The sequence below is a fragment of the Homo sapiens genome, chromosome 7 (assembly GCF_000001405.40).
Source record: "Homo sapiens chromosome 7, GRCh38.p14 Primary Assembly".
NCBI lineage: Eukaryota > Metazoa > Chordata > Mammalia > Primates > Hominidae > Homo > Homo sapiens.
The window spans coordinates 18,660,587-18,680,125 of NC_000007.14; the positions used below are offsets into that span (position 1 = coordinate 18,660,587).

Genomic DNA, 19,539 nt, shown 5'->3' on the forward strand with positions numbered 1-19,539 from the left:
GGGAGATAACTATATTGTAAACAAAGATAGCGATATGATGCCAGACAACAATAAGGACTCTAAAGAAAATATATTAATGAGATAATAACAGAGGTAAAATATGATAAGAAGGAGCCAGTCAGGCATGTAAAGATTTGAGGGAGTAGAGAGAGCACGGCGTAGACTCAGGCCTTGTGGGCGAACAAACTCTGCATGTTTTTATTCACGGGGCAACCAGAGGCCAGGGTAGCTGGAGCATGTGAGAAAGAGAGAACAAGATCCCAACTAAGGTCGGAGAAGTTGGTGGTGCCAGGTTGTCGAAAGTCTATGGACCATGGTAGGAGGTTTGAATTTTATTATAAGCATAATAGGAAGTCAGTGGGGGATTCTAAGCAGAGAATTAATGTTACCTAAATTATATTTTAAAAATCATTATTAGAGCTACTGTAAGAGATTGTACTGTTGAGGGCCAAGAGGGCAATCAAGGAGCCCAGAGTAGGGCCTTTGGGTAGTTTAGGGTGAAAATGATAGTATTTAGGAGCACAGTAGTAGCAGCAGAAATGGAGAAACATGTTAAGATAAAGCCTTTATTTTTGGAGGTTGAATTGCCAGGGCTTGCTCACAAATTAAATGAAAAAGATGAGTGATAGAGAAACAAGGATAAATCCCAAATATTTGGCTCATGCAGTTGGGTAAAGCTGTTTACTCAAATGAGAAAGATTGGGTGATCAATACAATTGGGTTAGATGGGAATAAAGGTTATTTTTGAGGTGTTTAATGTTTATGATGCCTATTAGATATTCTAGATCTAAGAAAACAAGTTAAGTACGCAGCTAACTATGCAAGTTTGGAGCTCAGGGGAGAGATTGGAATTGCTCCTATTAATCCAGTTGTCATGAGAATATATAGCTATTTCAGAGCAAAATGTGGAGTAGAATGGTATAAAAAGTTCTAGGTTTCTACTCTTTTTTTTTAAATCAAATTCATATCTTACAATCTTAGAGATGACTTGTCTTTTTTGGGCATGAGATTCCTTATTTAAAAAATAAGGTTTTTAAGAATGTTATTAAAAGATTTTCAAGTCCAGCATTTTATATCTATATGTTTTCTACTCAGAAGTTACTGTTTTATATCAAGAAACATTTCTTTTACAAACCATGAAGGAATTCTGCTCTTGGAAAAAGATCACAACGTTATTTATTCTGGCTTTTTTCTTCCCCATGTTTCCTTTGATAGATCAGAAGTGTAGATGAAGCCAAAGAAACTGACCGGAACAAATAGAATTATTTCTGTATTGCATATCAAAAATTGTTATATATACTGTCATATGCATATCTGTGTCAGTGAGGTTGTAAATACTGACCAGATTTGATTAATGGACTGAACAATGTGATTTCTGGGTACTTCAGTGACTTCACAGGTCAGATTTCAGAAGGTCTTCTGTTAAAATGTACATATAATACGTTCCATGGAAACTCAGGGGTTTGTTAATATTAGAGATTTTCCTTAACTTGCTAACGATGGGAAATTATATTCTAGTAAATTAACACTCAGTTTGTCTGGTCTTTGGCTGCAGTGGTAATACCAGTCTCTTATTTTCAAAAATGCTATGATTTTTGTGTTATTTCCCTTTCTAAAATGTTTCACCTTTGCTGCCACCTATTAATATCATATTTAAATGGCCACTGGATTTGGCATTATTGCAGTCATTATTGACCTTAACAAGAGATTTTGGTTAAATGGTGTAGAGGAAAGCCTAAAGAGAAGGGGAAAAGAGAAATGAAGACAGTGAAGAGCGATAACTCAAGAAATTTTATTGTGAAGGGAGGTATGTAATGGTGTGGTGGGGGAGGAGGTCAAGGAAAGTTTTAGTTAAGATGGATGATATTGCTGAAAGAGTACTAGTGAGAGCATTCCAGCAGAGAGGGGATCTGTGTGATGGAGGACACAGTGGATAATTGCAGGAGTGGAAGGGATCCAGAGTGTAAGCCAAGGGGTTGACTGAGATAGGAGTGCAGACATTTCACTCATTGCAACAGCAGGAGGGGTGGATGGGATAGCTTCATAAATGTGCTGGTAGCAGGAGGCTGAGTTTCTCTTCTGATGCTTCCATTTTCTCAATGAAATGAGAAGCAAAGGTATCAGCAGGGAGTGAGGAAAAGGGGAGAATGTTAGAGATTTGAAGGGAGAGGAGGTAGTACGAGACGGTGAAAGTAAATTAACTAGAAAAGTGGAATAGGGTTGCTAGGCAGCACTGAGACCCCATTGGAGGGTGTAGTCATGAATTTGGAGAACACTCAGCATGATCGTAATTTGTTTGTTTGTTTCCTAGCTCATTCAGCTGCTTGGGTTTGGCAGAGATTTAGTATTGACCAAGGTTAGAAGTCTTATTTGTCCAGTAAAACCCATATTGAAAGGAGCAGGAGCACTGATGGTAATATAAAGGAGTGGTTTTCAATGAAGTATGGAGCCTAGTCCAGAAAGGAGGGAAGTGAGCAAATGAAGGGGACAATATGTAGTGAGAATGTGGCTTGGAAAACCCACTAGAATGAGGAATGGTTGGAGTCAGACTATTCTGAGAAAGAGCCAGAAGAAAGGAATGATGTTTGAAATTGAGATTTAGAGTAATGCAGGGTTACTGATAAAGATAGGTCTCAGGTAAGGTCATAATGTTGGGGAATGAGGTCAAGTGGAGGACAAAACCATTGGAGGTTAGGAGGTTGAGACACTGAGAGGCCATGTTGTGGCCAGGGATTAGGAAGGAGAAGAATCGCAACAGAAGAGTCTTTTTACTTGGTGGGTGATATTTGTGGCTTCCTCTTAGTTATTGAATATTTCCTGTAGTGTCAGACATCCAGAAGCTAGCTAGGTTCCAAGTCGCGCCCTCCCTCCCCCTCACCCCCCAGTAAGCAGGGACTTCCGACATAGCATTTCCTGGACACTGGCTCTCTGGCTAATCTTTCATCCGGTACTCAGTTCCTATTCCATGACCACACATCCCGTATAGTTCTTCTGCTATCCTCAAGAGGCCCTTATTGGCAGGATCCTTTGAACACCTCTCCGGGTATCTACTTGAATCCTTAGTGTCATTGGTCCACTAGCTCTACTGAGCAGGTTCCCAGTAACTTTTCAGCTGTGCTGTGTTAGTGAGAGGGAGAGTTTCTACAGCTCAGTGAGCATTTGTCCAGTCTTCTTACATTTGGTTTCTCTGATGGGCTCCTGCAGCCTCCTTCACCTGGCTTGTATCTTTTCTCAGATAAATCCCTTCTTCCCACAAGCTCCCCTCACCTGCTCTTATTTGTAGTCTGAGGTATGAGTAAGGGTTGCAGCACTGACTGATAGTCTCTGTCCCTCTCTCTCTCTGAATAATGAGCGGATGTTTGTTACCCAGTGTCCTTATTCCTGGCATCCCAGCCAAAACTAGGAATTTTTCTTTAATATCTTGCTCGTTTCTATGCTGTTGCATATTCTTTCTTAAACAGCCAATTAAATGGGTTCCTACAACTTTGTAGTCAAAATTTAGGACTATAATATGGTCTCTTTTCTCCAGAATCTCAGTAGTGTCCAAAGTACTATGTATTAAAGAAAAGAAGAGCTGATTAGTATTCAGAATTGGGACAAAAGTCCTGCAAATAGTTTCCTAAAATATACTTAAAGTCATCTAAACCATGAGTAAATGAATGTCCTCCTTCTCCCGACTGCCCAGTAACAATGGATGTTAGATGGTAGGCACAAAGGAAATTCATATTCAAATTTCTTCATTGTGATATGAGTTTTGATTGGTATATGTTTTCTTAGCTTGATCTTGTCTGACTTACTTTGGTGATATTTAGGTCTTATATGTGTTTTTCCTAAGTTATATTTTATTTCTCTAGATTCTTACTCTTCACCCAAATATATTATAAATTGTATCATCTACTTTAACATTATCTTTCGGCATGTTCCTCTGGTTCTCAAACTCCACTAGCCTTTTGGTGACTTAGATGCGCTGGTCTCCTTTTCCAATCCAAAGTCCCCACAGACTCTGCCTTCTACCAGAAATGCTCCCCACCCTTATTTCCGCCCCTGCTTCCCACCCCTCACACATGTAACTTACTCCTTTCCATCCTTCATTCTTTGTGTCTAAACCTAAATATAACACTTCCTCAGCTTAACTCCCTTAACAATCCCCATTTCCACTGCTATGCCAAGCAGTATGTGCTCTTATAACACCTTGTGTTTCTTTCTTCAAAGCATTTTGTCATACTTGAAAATAGGAATAAGTATTTGAAGCTTTCTAAGACATTCACTAAAAGCTCCATGAGGGCAGAGCAGTGGCTATTTTTCTAATGCTTAGCATGGTGTCTTGAACATAGTTGGCACTCAGTAAATATTTGTTGAACAAATGAATGAAAATTCCTAATAAATCTACCTACAGTGAAATCAAAGGACTTTGTTAGTGTGTTCAGGGCCATTTGAGGTTGCGTGGACTGCAGGAAAGTCTATAAGCCTAAAGAGGCTGAGGTGTCCATCTAAGTCTGAGTACTTAAGTATTCACATTTTAAAACATGTATTTTGTAATTATGTGTGAGTGGGAGGTAAGCATGAATTTGACAAAGAAAAATCTGCATTCATGTTTATGGTGGTAGTATTATAAGTGTGCTGCTAGTTACAATAATTGGCATGTTGCTTACATAGGCACTGACTTAGCAGAAAACTTAGCAACTCTTGAAAACACAGTTCAAGGTCTGCAGATGATTTGGTCCACAGGGCCACTGTGAAATAAAACAAATGACCAGTGTGAGACAAAATAATCTTGAGACTTTTTCCCCATTTATTGAGCTTTCATGTTATGATATTTTGCTATTGTTTAAGTTAGGCATATTGTCAGTTATCTTTTAAAATCATTAAGCAGTTAATTCATTGACTTCTGAAAACTAAGTTCAATCTAATTTATAAAATAAATAAAATGTCTAAATAATGATTTCCAAATTAAAAAATAATTTCCTGATTCTTTTCTAATATTTAATTTCCATTTGAGTCTGTTCATAAAACATCTTATTGTTAATTTTTTTTAAATCATACACCTCTTTAAAGTTCAGAATATCAAAATAAATATTTCTAGTTCTTACAAATATATATAAGAAGATGCTTTTTCATTTGACTGTCGTTTCTCTGTATAGGTACAAGAAAATTAGACAAAGACTATTAGCATTTGTGTTCTGGCTTTCATAGCGTTTAACATTCGTTGAAAAATGATATTGACAACATTTTTTATCACCCCCTTTATCTTTTGAGAAAAGTATTATTCCCAGGTTCAACTTTCAAAACATGTCCTTTTGAAAGTTTCAGGGTTTCCATGGATAGTTTATTTACCTTTTTCTACACCATGTTCTAACTGCATTAAAGAGTGATCCATTAAAAAGAAAAAACAATCCAACACTTAAAGACCTTATTCACTGCCTACTGGACCCATACAATATGGAATAATGGGACTACTTTAGATTTAGTATTACTGAGGAAACTTGTTGCCTACAAGTTCATTCTGAAATTTATGTTCAATGATTAGAAATCACAGTGTATGAGTTATTAGAAATCAAAGTGTAATTTGCTTCTCTGTTACCATGAAGAACTACTGAATTTTGAACCCCTGAACACTCTCTTCTAGCTGCTTTCGAAATCTATTGAACAACTGAAGCAACCAGGCAGTCACCTTGAGGAAGCAGAGGAAGAGCTTCAGGGGGACCAGGCGATGCAGGAAGACAGAGCGCCCTCTAGTGGCAACAGCACTAGGAGCGACAGCAGTGCTTGTGTGGATGACACACTGGGACAAGTTGGGGCTGTGAAGGTCAAGGAGGAACCAGTGGACAGTGATGAAGATGCTCAGATCCAGGAAATGGAATCTGGGGAGCAGGCTGCTTTTATGCAACAGGTAATAGGCAAAGATTTAGCTCCAGGATTTGTAATTAAAGTCATTATCTGAACATGAAATGCATTGCAGGTTTGGTAAATGGATATGATTTCCTATCAGTTTATATTTCTCTATGATTTGAGTTCAGTGTTTAAGGATTCTACCTAATGCAGATATATGTATATATCTATATAGAGGTCTTTCTATATACTGATCTCTATATAGATATCAATGTTTCATTGAAAATCCACTGGTAAGGAAATACCTGTTATACTAAAATTATGATACATAATATCTGAGCAGTTAATAGGCTTTAAATTTATCCCAAAGCCTGCTACACCAATTACTTCTAAAGAAAACAAATTCACTGTTATTTTGAGTTTATGTGTTGAGATCAGTGACTGCTGGATAGTCTCCCAGTCTGATCAATGAAGCATTCGATTAGTTTTTGATTTTTTGCAACATCTAGAATTTAATTTTCACATCACTGTACATAATGTATCATACTATAGTCTTGAACACTGTTAAAGGTAGTCTGCCCCTTCCTTCCTCTCTCTTTTTTTAGTTAAGTAGAAATGTTCTGGTCACCATGCCAGTAGTCCTAGGTTATTGTGTAGGTTGCAATTGAACATATTAGGAATACAGGTGGTTTTAAATATATAGATGCAAATTGCAGCACTACTTTAAATATTAGATTATGTCTCACATAGCACTGCTCATTTTACTTTTATTTTGTGTAATTTGATGACACTGTCTATCAAAAAAGAGCAAATGAAGCAGATGCAAATGTTAGTGAGAAGTAATGTGCAGCATTATGGTCCAATCAGATACAATATTGTGTCTACAATTGCAAAAAACACAGTAACAGGATGAATATTATCTGATATCAAGTCAAAATCAGTTTGAAAAGAAGGTGTATCATATTTTATATTGTCACTAGAATCTCTTAAGTATAATTCCATAATGACATGGGCATATACCGTAACATTCTGGCAAATAACAATTAGAAAAGATAGGTTTAACAAAAAAATTTACTTGTATATAATGCACCTTCAGGAGGACTATGTCCTTTGATGCTATAAAATACAAACAACTTTGAAGGCAACAGAAGACACTGTTTATTCAAGTCAGTTCTTTGTCAGGTTCCTGCTGTTCTCCTACAGAAAAGTGATTCTGTGAGGGTGAACAGGAAATGCCTTGTGGAAACAGGAAGTCCAAGTGATTCATGTACTGAGGAATGTAGGAAAAAAAATCTGAGGATAGTGCTTTACTCTTTCTGTTTTTAAAGGGCACTCTATGAATTGATTTATTGTCTAAGAAAATAACACCACAAGTAGGGAAATTGTTACGGAAGCTTTTCACTGGAACATTTCCTTCATATTCCCTTTTGATATGTTTACCTTGTTTTATAGGTTTACTTTTGTTAAGCTAGTTAAAGGTTCGTTGTATTAAGACCCCTTTAATATGGATAATCCAAATTGACCTAGAATCTTTGTGAGGTTTTTTCTATTAAAATATTTATATTTCTAAATCCGAGGTATTTCAAGGTGTAGTATCCTATTTCAAAGGAGATATAGCAGTTTTGCCAAATGTAGACATTGTTCAACTGTATGTTATTGGCACGTGTTGTTTACATTTTGCTGTGACATTTAAAAATATTTCTTTAAAAATGTTACTGCTAAAGATACATTATCCTTTTTTAAAAAGTCTCCATTCAAATTAAATTAACATAACTAGAAGTTAGAAAGTTTAAAAGTTTTCCACATAATGAAAGTCCTTCTGATAATTTGACAAATAGCTATAATAGGAACACTCCCTATCACCAACATATTTTGGTTAGTATATTCCTTCATATTAAAATGACTTTTTGTCAGTTGTTTTGCATTAAAAATATGGCATGCCTAAGATAAAATTGTATATTTTTTCCATCTCATAAATATTCATTTTCTTCAAAGTCTTTTTTCAATCTCATAAAAAAGGGATAGTGCATCTTTTAAAATACATTTTATTTGGGGAGGAACATGTGGCTGAGCAGACTTTTGTATAATATTACTTCAAAGATATGTAATCACAAACAAAAAAAACTATTTTTTATAATGTCATTTGAGAGAGTTTCATCAGTACAGTTGGTGGACGTTAATTGTTTGAATTTGATAGTCTTTGAATTTAATCAAGAAACTACCTGGAACCAGTGAAAAGGAAAGCTGGACTTAAATAATCTTAGAATTAATTGATAAATGTCTCTTTTAAAATCTACTGTATTTATTATAATTTACACCCTTGAAGGTGATCTCTTGTTTTGTGTTGTAAATATATTGTTTGTATGTTTCCCTTCTTGCCTTCTGTTATAAGTCTCTTCCTTTCTCAAATAAAGTTTTTTTTAAAAGATCCCCTTTCATACACTTGGCTTTGTGTAAACTTGCCGTATTTAATCGAAGTTGAAGCTTGCACACTAGATCTCATATATCAAAATACATTGCCAGTCTTTGTTGAAACAAGAAAATAAAGACATTTTGAGCAGTTACATCTAATACCATTAAAAACAATAAATTCAGCAATAATGACTTTCAACTATTTACATCCAAAATTTTCAAATAGCTAACACATGTAAAATTTGTTTCATTTTCCTTTTGCCAGTGTAAACTTTTTCATGATATGTTATCATGTTTGGTATTTAAATTAAAATGTCAACTTCTAAATATAAAACTTTATCTAAATAGATGTCAGTTCCTAACTTTGCTCAACTTAAAAAATTATTTTTAAAAAGCTTAACACAATCCCTTGAACATAACAAGCACTCAATAAATATTAAAATGAATAATATTCCAAGTGTCGTAATAATTATGTCTATTACAGTGAGATCTTGAAATACAAGTAGAAAGTGACAGCACATAAATTTAAAGAGAAAATAGTAATTAAATGATCTCCCCTTATATGGTAACAATTATTATAATACCAGTGTGAGGAATAGGAGCCTGATTCAAGTAAAGGCAACTCTGCCGTATTCTAAGTCACATCAGTATTGCATTAGAGTATCAAGAAATCTGGAGCTATAATTATTGACTGTTACAGAATGGATTATCATTTTATAGTGCCATAAATTTGAGAATACAGTCACAATTCTGGAAATACCATTATTGCTAATTATAATTTCCTGAAATTTGCCTTTGAACTATAAAATTACAGGACTAACTTGGTACCAGAGATCCTAAAGTATGAGTTAGAGAAATCAATTAAAAAATGGTTTTATAGTGTATATCTGATTTCTGAAGTGTTATATAGGGTGAGTTTTAAAACAAAGCATCAATCCAGCATTAGAAAACTTTTCATTAGAAAAAATAGTTATTGCCAAGTCTTGAAATAAATAATCATTAGATTTTTTTTCTTCTGGAAGTAAAAATTCACCTTCTCATTGGTGAAGGTGGTTGATGAAGTGTAGACTGCTACTTTTCATAGATCTGAGAAAGATAGTCTTCTAGAAATTGTTATATATTGTTTTATGCTCCTTTTTTTCAAAGGATGTTGAAAAGGAATTCAGACACTAAACCTTTTGTTGAAACCTAGTACTTAACAGATAGATATATATAGAGTATTGTTTTTAATTTGGTGTTTCATTGTGTTTTTTTCAATAATTGAAGTGTACAATTTTGAATCGCTGTAATATGTATAAATTGTAGGTGTGTGATTGAAGGTTTACAATGATAAATAGTTTGAGGTCTCCAATTGTAACTGATTATATCAGGAACTTGGAGATACAAAAGAAGGAGTTTGAGACTATTATTCCCTTTATTATTGATCATTGCTTCATCTCTGTTTTAAGAAGAAAATATTGAAGGCAATCAAAGAATTTGAGCAAACACAAAGGAAATTTGGAATGTGACTTTTCAGTCATGCCAACAACATATCTATGTAGGCTTAAAAACGTTTATATTCTTGTTGTTACATCTAATTTTATAATAACATCTTTGAGGCTATAAACTGTGTTTAGGCAATGCAACTTTTGGGGATCATTTTGATTTAGAAAAAGATGTTTACTTTTATCTATTACAAACACACAGTGCGCAAGCACTTCATATCTATTAGCTCATTTGGTCCTCACAATAACCTGATGAAGGAGGTATTATTATCATCCCACTGTAGAGATGAGAGCACTGCAAAAGAGAAATTAAAGATTTAGGAGGTCTAGCTTTAATTTGAACCTAGGCACTTTGGCACCAGAGTCCCTGTTCTCAACCTTTACCATTGTGCTGTGTTGGTGCAACGATTCTTTATATCTGCCCGATATGCTTACTTCTGTCCAATTTATTCAGTTGTTTCTCTCTCTCTCCTCATTAGCATTTACCAAACTGTCTTGATCAATAATCTTTTTTTAATAGCTTCTATAAATTGTGAGATTAGTGATTAGTACTCTTTTTTTTTTTTCTAATTCTAATGAGGGTTAGGGTTAGATGAAGGTTCTAATCCTGCACACATTTTATTCAACCATTTTTAATCGTGAAAATCTGTAGCCTTCTTTTTTCTGACCATAGCCGGTCCTAGGAGGGACTGAAACAGAGTGGCCACACTTGGTTAACTTTTAGGGGAAGGAGAAAGGATTTCAGCAGGTTCAGAGCTCTCCTTTACTTCTTAGCTTCATTCCCAAACTAACGCAAAGAAAGTCCAGTTTCTAAGCCATCAGGACGCTGCCTTTTACAGACTTTTTAAACCTATCAAGGACACGCTTGATAATAATTTTGACTTAAGTAGTCTGTATAAAACGTTGTGGAAGGGAAAAATAGAGACAGTTGTCACGTTCTAGACCTCCTAAGTGGTATTCTAATAGAAAGATGCATAACAATCCTCTCGAGGGAAACAGGTTCTGACCACACCCCTAGAGGTTCTGAGTCTGTTGTTCTGACTGGTTGCTCAGTCATCTACCTTTTTCAAGCCTTTTGAAGAGTCCGATTCAGAAATAATGTTTTGGAGATGGCCAGGTGCCCTAACCACTTCCTGAAATCTGGCCTGATTTTTAATAGCTTTTACCTAAGTTCCTCAGATTCTCTGATTCATAGTTTTCAAAATATCTTGTCTCCTATTTTTGTATATTGTTCTCGGCTTCTTCTGCATTTTAACTCAAGTATAGGCAATTCTCACTATATTTACTGGAATTACTCCAATACGTTTTAGAATATTCATGGTGCTGTGCAGCCATCACTAGTATCTAATTCCAAAACACTTCCATTAACCCCAACTCAAAAAAAAATCTTGTACCAACTAAGCAGTCACTCCCACTCCACGCTCGTTCTTGCCCCTGACAACCACTCATCTGCTTTATATCTCTGTGGATTTGCCTATTGTGGATATTTCATATAAATGAAGTCATGCATTATGTGGCCTTTTGTGCCTGGCTTCTTTCCTTATGCAGAAGATTTTCAGGGTTCATCCACAGCATCAGTACTTCATTCCTTCTTATGGCTGAGTAATATTCCCTTGTATGGCTATACAACATTTTGCTTATTCATTCATCAGTTGAACACACAGTTTTCACTTTTTTGTCTATTATGAATAATGCTGCTGTGATCATTCGTGTACAAGGCTTTTGTGAGAAGATATATTTTCATTTCTCCTGGGTATATATCTAGGAGTGAAATTTCTGGGTAATATGGTAACTGTTTAACTTTTCGAGGAACTGTCAACCTGTTTTCCATGTAGCTGAACTATTTTACTTTCCTGCTAGCAATGTATGAGGGTTCCAGTTCCTCCACATCTTCTCCATTTGTTATTTCCCCTGCCTTATTGATGGTAGCCATCCTAGTGAGTATGCAGTGCTATCATTGTTGCTTTGATTTATATTTCATTAATGACTAATGATGTTGAGCATCTTTTTATTTGCTTATTGGCCATTTCTATAACTTCATTAGGAGCAACATCTAGTCAAGTCCTTTGCCCATTTTCTAGTTGGCTTGCTTGTCTTTTTGTTGTTGAGTTGTAAGTGCTTTTAGATATATTTTGTGTAGTAGACCTTTATCGGGTATATAAGTTGCAAATATTTTCTCCTATTCTGTCAGTTTTCTTTTCATTTTCTTAAGTGTTCTTTGATGCACAAAAGTTTTGAATTTTGCTGAAGTCCAGTTTATCTATTTTTCCTTTTGCTGCTTGTGCTCTTGGTATCATATTTTAAAAACTGTAACCTAGTCCAGGGTTATAAAGATTTACACTTACGTTGCCTTCTTAGAGTTTCATTAATATAAATTTAGCACTTAACATTAGGTCTTTGATCCATTTTGTGTCATACACATTGTTTTTAAATATTCTTCTATGCATTTAAATTATTTTCAAAGAGATATGAACTTCATGATTATTGGACTTCATTTTCTCATACTTTATCTTCATTTTCCTTATTATATGAGTTGATGCAAAAGTAATTGCGGTTTTTGCAATTACTAGTTGCAATTACTAGTTGATTTTGGTCTTGCTTTTCTGATATTTCTGTGGCTGACCCTTGTTGCTTTCTAACTTTTGATACTGTTACTTTTTTCTTCCCAAAATATCACTGAAATGTTACAATCTTGATGTTTATTATTCCTTTTTTTCTGGTGCTCTTTAAAAATTAAATCAATTATTTTTCTTCATGAATATTACTTTTAAAATCCTACCCTCGTCACTCAGTTTTACTAATTACAGTTGAATTTTATGTTGAAGCCAGGTGTGGAAGGATGTCTGTAGACCTAGATACCTGGGAGGTTAGGGCAGGAGGATTGTTGAGCCCACGAGTTTGAGGCTACATTGAGCTATGATCATGCCACGGTGCTGTAGCCTGAGTGACAAAACAACAGCATGTCTTTAAAAAAATTATGTCGAACTAATGTTCATGTCTTAGCTTTGATCTTCATGCCTCTGTTGACAGAATTTCTGGAGAAAGAACCCTAAATTTGCTCTGTCCAAACTAGTAGCCACATGTACCTATTGAACGTTTAAATGTGGTTGGCAAGAATTGAGGTACAGCCTAAGTAGAAAATGCACAGCAGATTTCAAAGATATAGTACAAAAAGTTTATTAATATTCCATGTCTATTGATTACATGTTGAAATAATATTTTAAATATATATTAAGTCATATAACATCATTAAAATTAATCTTACCTGTTTTACTTTTTAAATGTGGCTATTCGAAAAGAATATACATGGTTTGCATTTGTGACTCACATATTTTTATTTGTATTTATGTTTCTGCTTTAGATCGTCTTCATCTCATTTTGTATTTTGTTAATTGATAGATCTCATCACATCAATTTGAAAATAGATGGGCTATAAAACTTGAACAGATGAATTTTTGCTCTTGCCAGTATCTTTCTGTTGCTCTTAATTAACATAGAGGCATAAAATGTTAGTGTTAGCAGAGATATGAGGCATCTGAATGGTTTAAGGGTTTAAAGATCCTTCTCCTTTACCTTAAAGACAACCGAAAGTCTGCCAAATGTTTTATTACCAATATTAGTTGTAAGGAGAATTCACTTACCGCTCCATTCTCATCTCAAAGTTAGTAAATTCATGCATAATGTGTGCTGGTTTTTCCTGCTTTTCCTTTTTGCTGTTGTTGTTGTTGATGAGACCACCATTTAGACAGTGGGATAGATGATCTTGTAGTCATCTTTGATTATCTTCATTCCTTTATCTCCTATAGGCAGTTGGTCCTCCTGTTTCTGATTTCACATCATCATATTTCTTTACTTCACCTTCAGCTTTGCTTTCTCCAGCTACTAGTGAACAGTAAAACAAATCCATGGTGCTCTCATTGCAATAGCCCCCTTTTACATCAGTGTGATATTTATACTACTTCAATTAACTTACTGTAAAATGACAATACCATTTTCCCATTTTCTGTGGTCAACCTACAGTAATTGCTTTCTAATATTTCACTTAAATGATATCAGAGAGCTACAGTCTTCATAATTCAACCTTTATACTCTAACCAGGCACTCACTTCTGCCATATGCCATCTGTGATTTCTCTAGCCCTTCTGAACTCCCCAACTTGAAATCAGTTCCATAGTTTCCCATGTAATTCTTATTTATCATTATCTGTGTGGCATTATGTCTTTTTGGTTTTTGAGGTCAGGGAAAATGTACTCTATTGTGTTCATCATTGTTCCTAGAGCCACTCAGGGAACCTATGAAATGTTCAGCTGAACTTTATTTTAATGGTTTTTGTTTTACATTGTTCTTATTCAGATGTAAATGGTTAAAGGCATTTTCTTCCATACTATGATTTTATTCTCACTTTTATTTTCGATGTGAAATGTGGAGTCATATTTTACTTGATGGGCTATTTCTTGTCCTCAGTGTCCTCCCTAGTAATATATTTTTTAAACTGGCTTTAGTAAAAATAGCTACTATTTTTCATTTTCAGCCCATGGTAAATGATGGAAATATTTTTCTTGATGAATTTATTATTTAACAGTACTCACACCATATTAATTTTTATAATTTATATTTGTATATGAATTATTGACTATGACTTCTAATATCTAGCATACATTTTTAGATAAAAATATAATATCTAGATTAATTTGAATGACCTCTTTATAGTATTAATTTTTCTATTTCCACGTATTCTATAGATAATTTTTTAAAGTGAGAGCTTGGAAAGAAGACAAAATGATTCATATTAATCTTTCTTAGAGAGTGAATCAGCCTCCTCCTTGTGCATATTTAAAGAAAACTTACTAAATGTGGAAATTGATGTGTTGTTTTGACTAGGTATGCATCAAACCCTATGTATGCATCAAAAACAGTGGCATTTTGCATCGTCTTTGAGATCTATGCATGGAACTGCCTCGTACGGTAATATTGATTTTATAGTTAGGCTGCAGGAGTTGCAACTCCAACTTCCCCACCTACTAGCAACTCCATGTGAAGTAAATTACCGAATTCTGCCAAGCCTCTGTTTACTGGTTTGTTAAATGTGGTCAGGAATTCTAAATTTTTCTGTTAAGGAATTGTCAGCTTTAAATGTGTTAACATGTTTAAATAGTGTAATGAGTACTAGCATAATGGGTACACAGTAAAAATTAGCTATTGTTATGAAAAGTAGCATTAATATATCTTGGAACTTTAGTAACTTTGTTCTCCTTGGTAGGAGCTGACCTTACACTCAATATCAATCTTTAATAATGAATAATTTTCTCTTCTGTAATCAAAAAAAATTATAGTACAGTACTTCCCACCTTTTTCATGTCCTAGCACACATAGAAAATGGCAATATGTATACGGCCCAGGTCACTGCAGGAGGCTGCTCAGCCTCTCCTCCCTGCCCCAAGAGTTGAGAACCGTCTAGGGTTGATTCAGCTGCAGCCCTTTCATGACTTACAGGGAAGTTCTCAGGCTGGAATGTTCTTTGGGAGACCCTGTGAGTACATTACTCCTCTTCTTCCTCTCCACTGCCTTTTCTTCTGTCTCCTCTCACCTCCCATAAAAAGAATCCTGGATTTTTTTTCACCAGATTTCAACTAATGATTCACTAATTTTAAAACAACTCTAGGTGTGAATGATTAACATGATCATTGTTCCGAAGGATGTATTAAGAATATGTGTTGATCACGGAGGATCTTTGGATAAGCTATGTCTGTGCCCAGGTCTCCTCTAACTTTAATTCTCACCCTATTATCAGCACCAAAACCATCAATCAGAAAGCAAAACTCAGAAAATTGGCATTGTCTAGTAGCCTATAGGGGGTTCTCTTGTCATATTTGCACTGGACTCTGCCTTTCTTTCTTATTTTTATTTTTATAGCCAGTCAAATTTAGCAGTGCGGGGTTGTATATGGACTCTTTCTTTGGAATCAGCATGAAATAAAGAATGCAAAGATTTTTCTGTCTCTGCTTTTTAACAAATGTTCTGGGAAACTTCCCCCCTCCCCCACCTACTATCTCTAGTTAGGTAAATGCTCAAAGAACTTAGAATGGGAAATCTTGCAATGATTTCTTGATCTTAAGTAATTTGACTGCATAATTTTGCATAGCCATTTGTCCTCTCTCTATTACCTTCTTTTAACATGGTGAAGAATAAGTCTACTTTACACTATATTTTTAGCATCTTAGATATATTTTGGTCATGAAGATGGTGCTATCAAATCCTTTTTTAAAAAACTTAAACTTTTTGAATTATAGCACATTTAATGTTTATTTTTCTACTGTAAATTATAAATTATTTGACTTTTGCTTAATTATTTCAATTGTCTGACAAACTCATAAAAATATCCAACTTGGTTCCTTTATTTTATATTTTCTTTATCACCTACAAATCTTAAAATGTATATATTTTATGTCTTTATATGTTTACAGTGGTTAGTTGTATCTCATTATAACCTTTTTCTGGATATGGAAGCAGATAATATTTTCTTCCTTAAAAGGGACTCTCTTAGGGATTAAAAAAATTCTAATTTTTAATGTCCTGGGGTTTTTGGCATGCTGTTTAAATTAAAATTTTAAAATGATATTTTTGCTTTTGTTTACACACAACTTCCTAAATCTTAGTGATTTTTAGTCTACTTTTTGAACTATAATATCCATACAAACTCCACTTGATATATATACATAGAGTTTAATAAACTTTGAGAAATATATATGCCACTATCTAGATAGAGAATATTTATGTCATTCCAGAGAATTCCCTCCTGCCCTCTTTATACTCAGACTCACATCCTCACTCTCCTCCCAGCCCCAGTCAACTATTGATCTGTTATTCTGACACTATATATTAGTTTTTATTTTTCTAGAAGTTCATTTAGGTGAATCATATAAAAAAGAGTTTGTGATATTTTCAGTCTGAATTTTTTTTCAATCAGAAAATGCTTCTGAGATCCTTCCATGTATGTACCAGTGATATGGTCCTGTTTATTGCTGAATAGTTAGCCACTGTACAGATATGCCACAATTTGTTTATGTATTTGTCTATTGATGGAAATGTAGGTTATTTTCAGGTGTGAGTAATTATGAATGAAACTACCATGAATATCTTAAACAAGTTTCTGTAGAAATTTATTTTATTTCGTTTGAGTAATTACTTAGGAGTGAAAATGAGTTGTACACTAAGTATAGGTTTAACTTTATAGGAAGCTGCCAAATTATTTGTAATTAATTATTGTTTGACATTCTCATCAACAATGTATGAGTTTCTATTACTCTGCGTTCTTGTTTACACTTGATATTGTCGGGTTTTTCTAACTGTATGCAGCTAATGACTGCATTAGGTGGCTCAGTTTTTAAATTGAGGCATGTCTTTTTATTGTTGGTTATCAAATTATATATTTTGGATACAATCTATTTCTACATATGTATGTTACAAATAATTTCACCTACTTTGTCATTGGCCTTCCATTTTGAAGAGCAGAATATTTAAGCACTAACACTAGCACTTGATGTGTTCCATTCTATCAATTTGTTCTTCTATGGTTAGTGCTTTAGTGTCCTTTCAAGAATGATTTGTTTTCCTGCTTTCTTCCTCCAGTTTAAACATTTAAATGAAAGAGCAATTTTGAGTTAATTTTTATATGATGTGAAGACAGGTTGAGTTTCATTATCTTACAGGATTCGATTTTTCAGCACCTCTTTTTTTGAAAAGATTATTCTTGCTCCTTTGAATTATTCTGGTCTATTTGTTAGAAATCAATTGAACATATAAATGTTAGCAGATTTCTGAGCTCTTTATTTTATTCCATTGATCTCTGTCTTTACACCAATACCACAGAATCTTGATTACGGTTGCTATTTAGTAACTCTTAACATTAAGTAGTTTATTTTTATCTGCTTGTTTGTAAGATTTTTTGGTTAATACTAGTTTTTAGCAAATTGATTATGATGTCCCTTAATGTGGTTTTCTCTGTGTACATCCTTCTTTGGTTCACTGAGCTTCTTATATCTGTGGGTTTGCACTTTTTAAAAGTTTAGAAAATGTCAAGTGTTATTTCATCTGATATTTTTCCTGCTAATTATTTTCTCTCTCTTTCTTTTGGGACTCCAGTTACACATAGAGTAGACTGCTTGATACTGTCTCACGTATCAAGTTTCCATATTTTTTTCTTCATGTTTTCTTCTGTACATTTTCCATTGCTGTACACATCTTTTCTTCCTAGTGGATGAACTTCTGTTAATCACATCCAGTAAATTTTTAATTTAAGATCTGGAGGTTTTCACATCTAGAAATATAGATATGTTTTCCATTTGTCTCTGCAACATATTCACATTTTTCTTTAAATCCTTGAGTGTATTTTTGTTTACTTTAAAGTCCTTTTCTGCCATTTTGGGGTCTGCTACTACTGCTTAATTTTTCTCTTGAATATGGTTCATATTTTCCTGTTCTGTTTAATGTCTAGTAAATTTCCATTCAATGTTAGACAATTTAAATTTGCTGTCTTTCTTTAAAGAATGTTCACTTGAAACATTCAAGGCTTGTGTTAAAGTTTTGTTTGTGCAAGTCTATCATAACCTTTACACTCAACTTGGTTTCTCTCTTGCTCCCTAATTTGTGAGTTCTCTGGAGCATTTAACAGGGGTGGATGACACCAGGGAATAATCAATCTTAGCCTAGGACCCTGGTGCAGGAATGAAGATGGAGAGAAAGGATTGGATTTAGTAAAGATCTGAAAAAATAAATCCAGCTATTCTGGGGGGAATGAGCTGCTTCAACTAATTCTTAGTCCTGTATTCACTTTAGAAGCTAGTCACTTACTGGGTCCTACCAAGTCAGTTCTCCAGTGTGGCTTGGTCATTTTCAAGCAGGCTTTGAATTTCTTGGATTTTGGTACTCTTTACATTCAAATATTAACTTTAAAGGCAGATATGAGGGAACAACCATTAACAATTGCCTATACATATACAGACAAACACAGACTGAATGGACATTTTTACCCAAGTTTTTTGGAGGACCTGTGCATCCTACAATTACATTGGTTAAACTATGTGAAAACAATAATACAATCTAGTTTAAATTTTTTTTCTAATCTCCATTTAAAGAATTAGACTTTCTCTTTCTTCCTTCCCTCCCACCCTCTCTCCCTTTCTTTTCTTTTCTTTCTTTTCTTTCCTTTCTTTCTTTCTTCCTTTCTTCCTTTCTTTCTTTTTCTTTTCATCTTTCTTTCCCTCTTTCTCTTTCTTCTCTCTCTCCGTCTCTTTCTTTCTCTCTCTTTCCTTTTCTTCTCTGAGTAACATTGATCCTACTAAATTTATTAGACCGTGTTCTGTTAATTCAGTTACTCTTTAATATAGTAAGAAATAATATGTCTTATGAAAAATTTTAATTCCAGTATGAAGCATAGATAATGGACTATTTATAACATCTAAATACTAGGTAACGTAAGTGTAATTTTTATTTTAAAAATTATTATTTACATTTTGTATATTATATTTTAATGCTTCTATTTAAAGAGGTAAGCCATGGATGTTCTGCAATGATTCTACATTTTCTATGTCTCTAAGTTAAAAGTGCCTTGCAGTCTTCTAATTTGGGATCCCTGTTAAGCAGTTTTCTTGCATTTAGTTTTCCACCACAGTGCTTAGTTCCTGGTTTCTTTATCCAGGATGACAATTACTATGGCATAGTTCATGTTCTTTGCATTAGAAATCAGTGCCAATATAAACCATGACTGATAAAAATGAATGGGACCTACGAACCCAGGGGAACTTTTCTAGAAACA

General features: G+C 34.2%; 1 protein-coding gene across 39 annotated transcripts in view; it reads left to right on the forward strand.

Annotated features, from left to right (window-relative positions):
* Nucleotides 1-19,539, forward strand: part of HDAC9 (histone deacetylase 9) — a 915,592-nt gene that overhangs the window by 573,762 nt on the left and 322,291 nt on the right. For 33 of the 39 annotated variants that reach the window (NM_001204144.3, NM_001321869.2, NM_001321872.2 and 30 more), the window contains one exon: nucleotides 5,627-8,257. In NM_001204144.3, coding sequence (NP_001191073.1) covers nucleotides 5,627-5,941 — 315 coding nt within the window. In that variant the 3' untranslated portion in view covers nucleotides 5,942-8,257. Of the gene's footprint in view, nucleotides 1-5,626; nucleotides 8,258-19,539 lie in introns of those variants that run through there. The other 6 variants (NM_001321868.2, NM_178425.4, NM_001321877.2 and 3 more) reach the window with 1 other exon arrangement.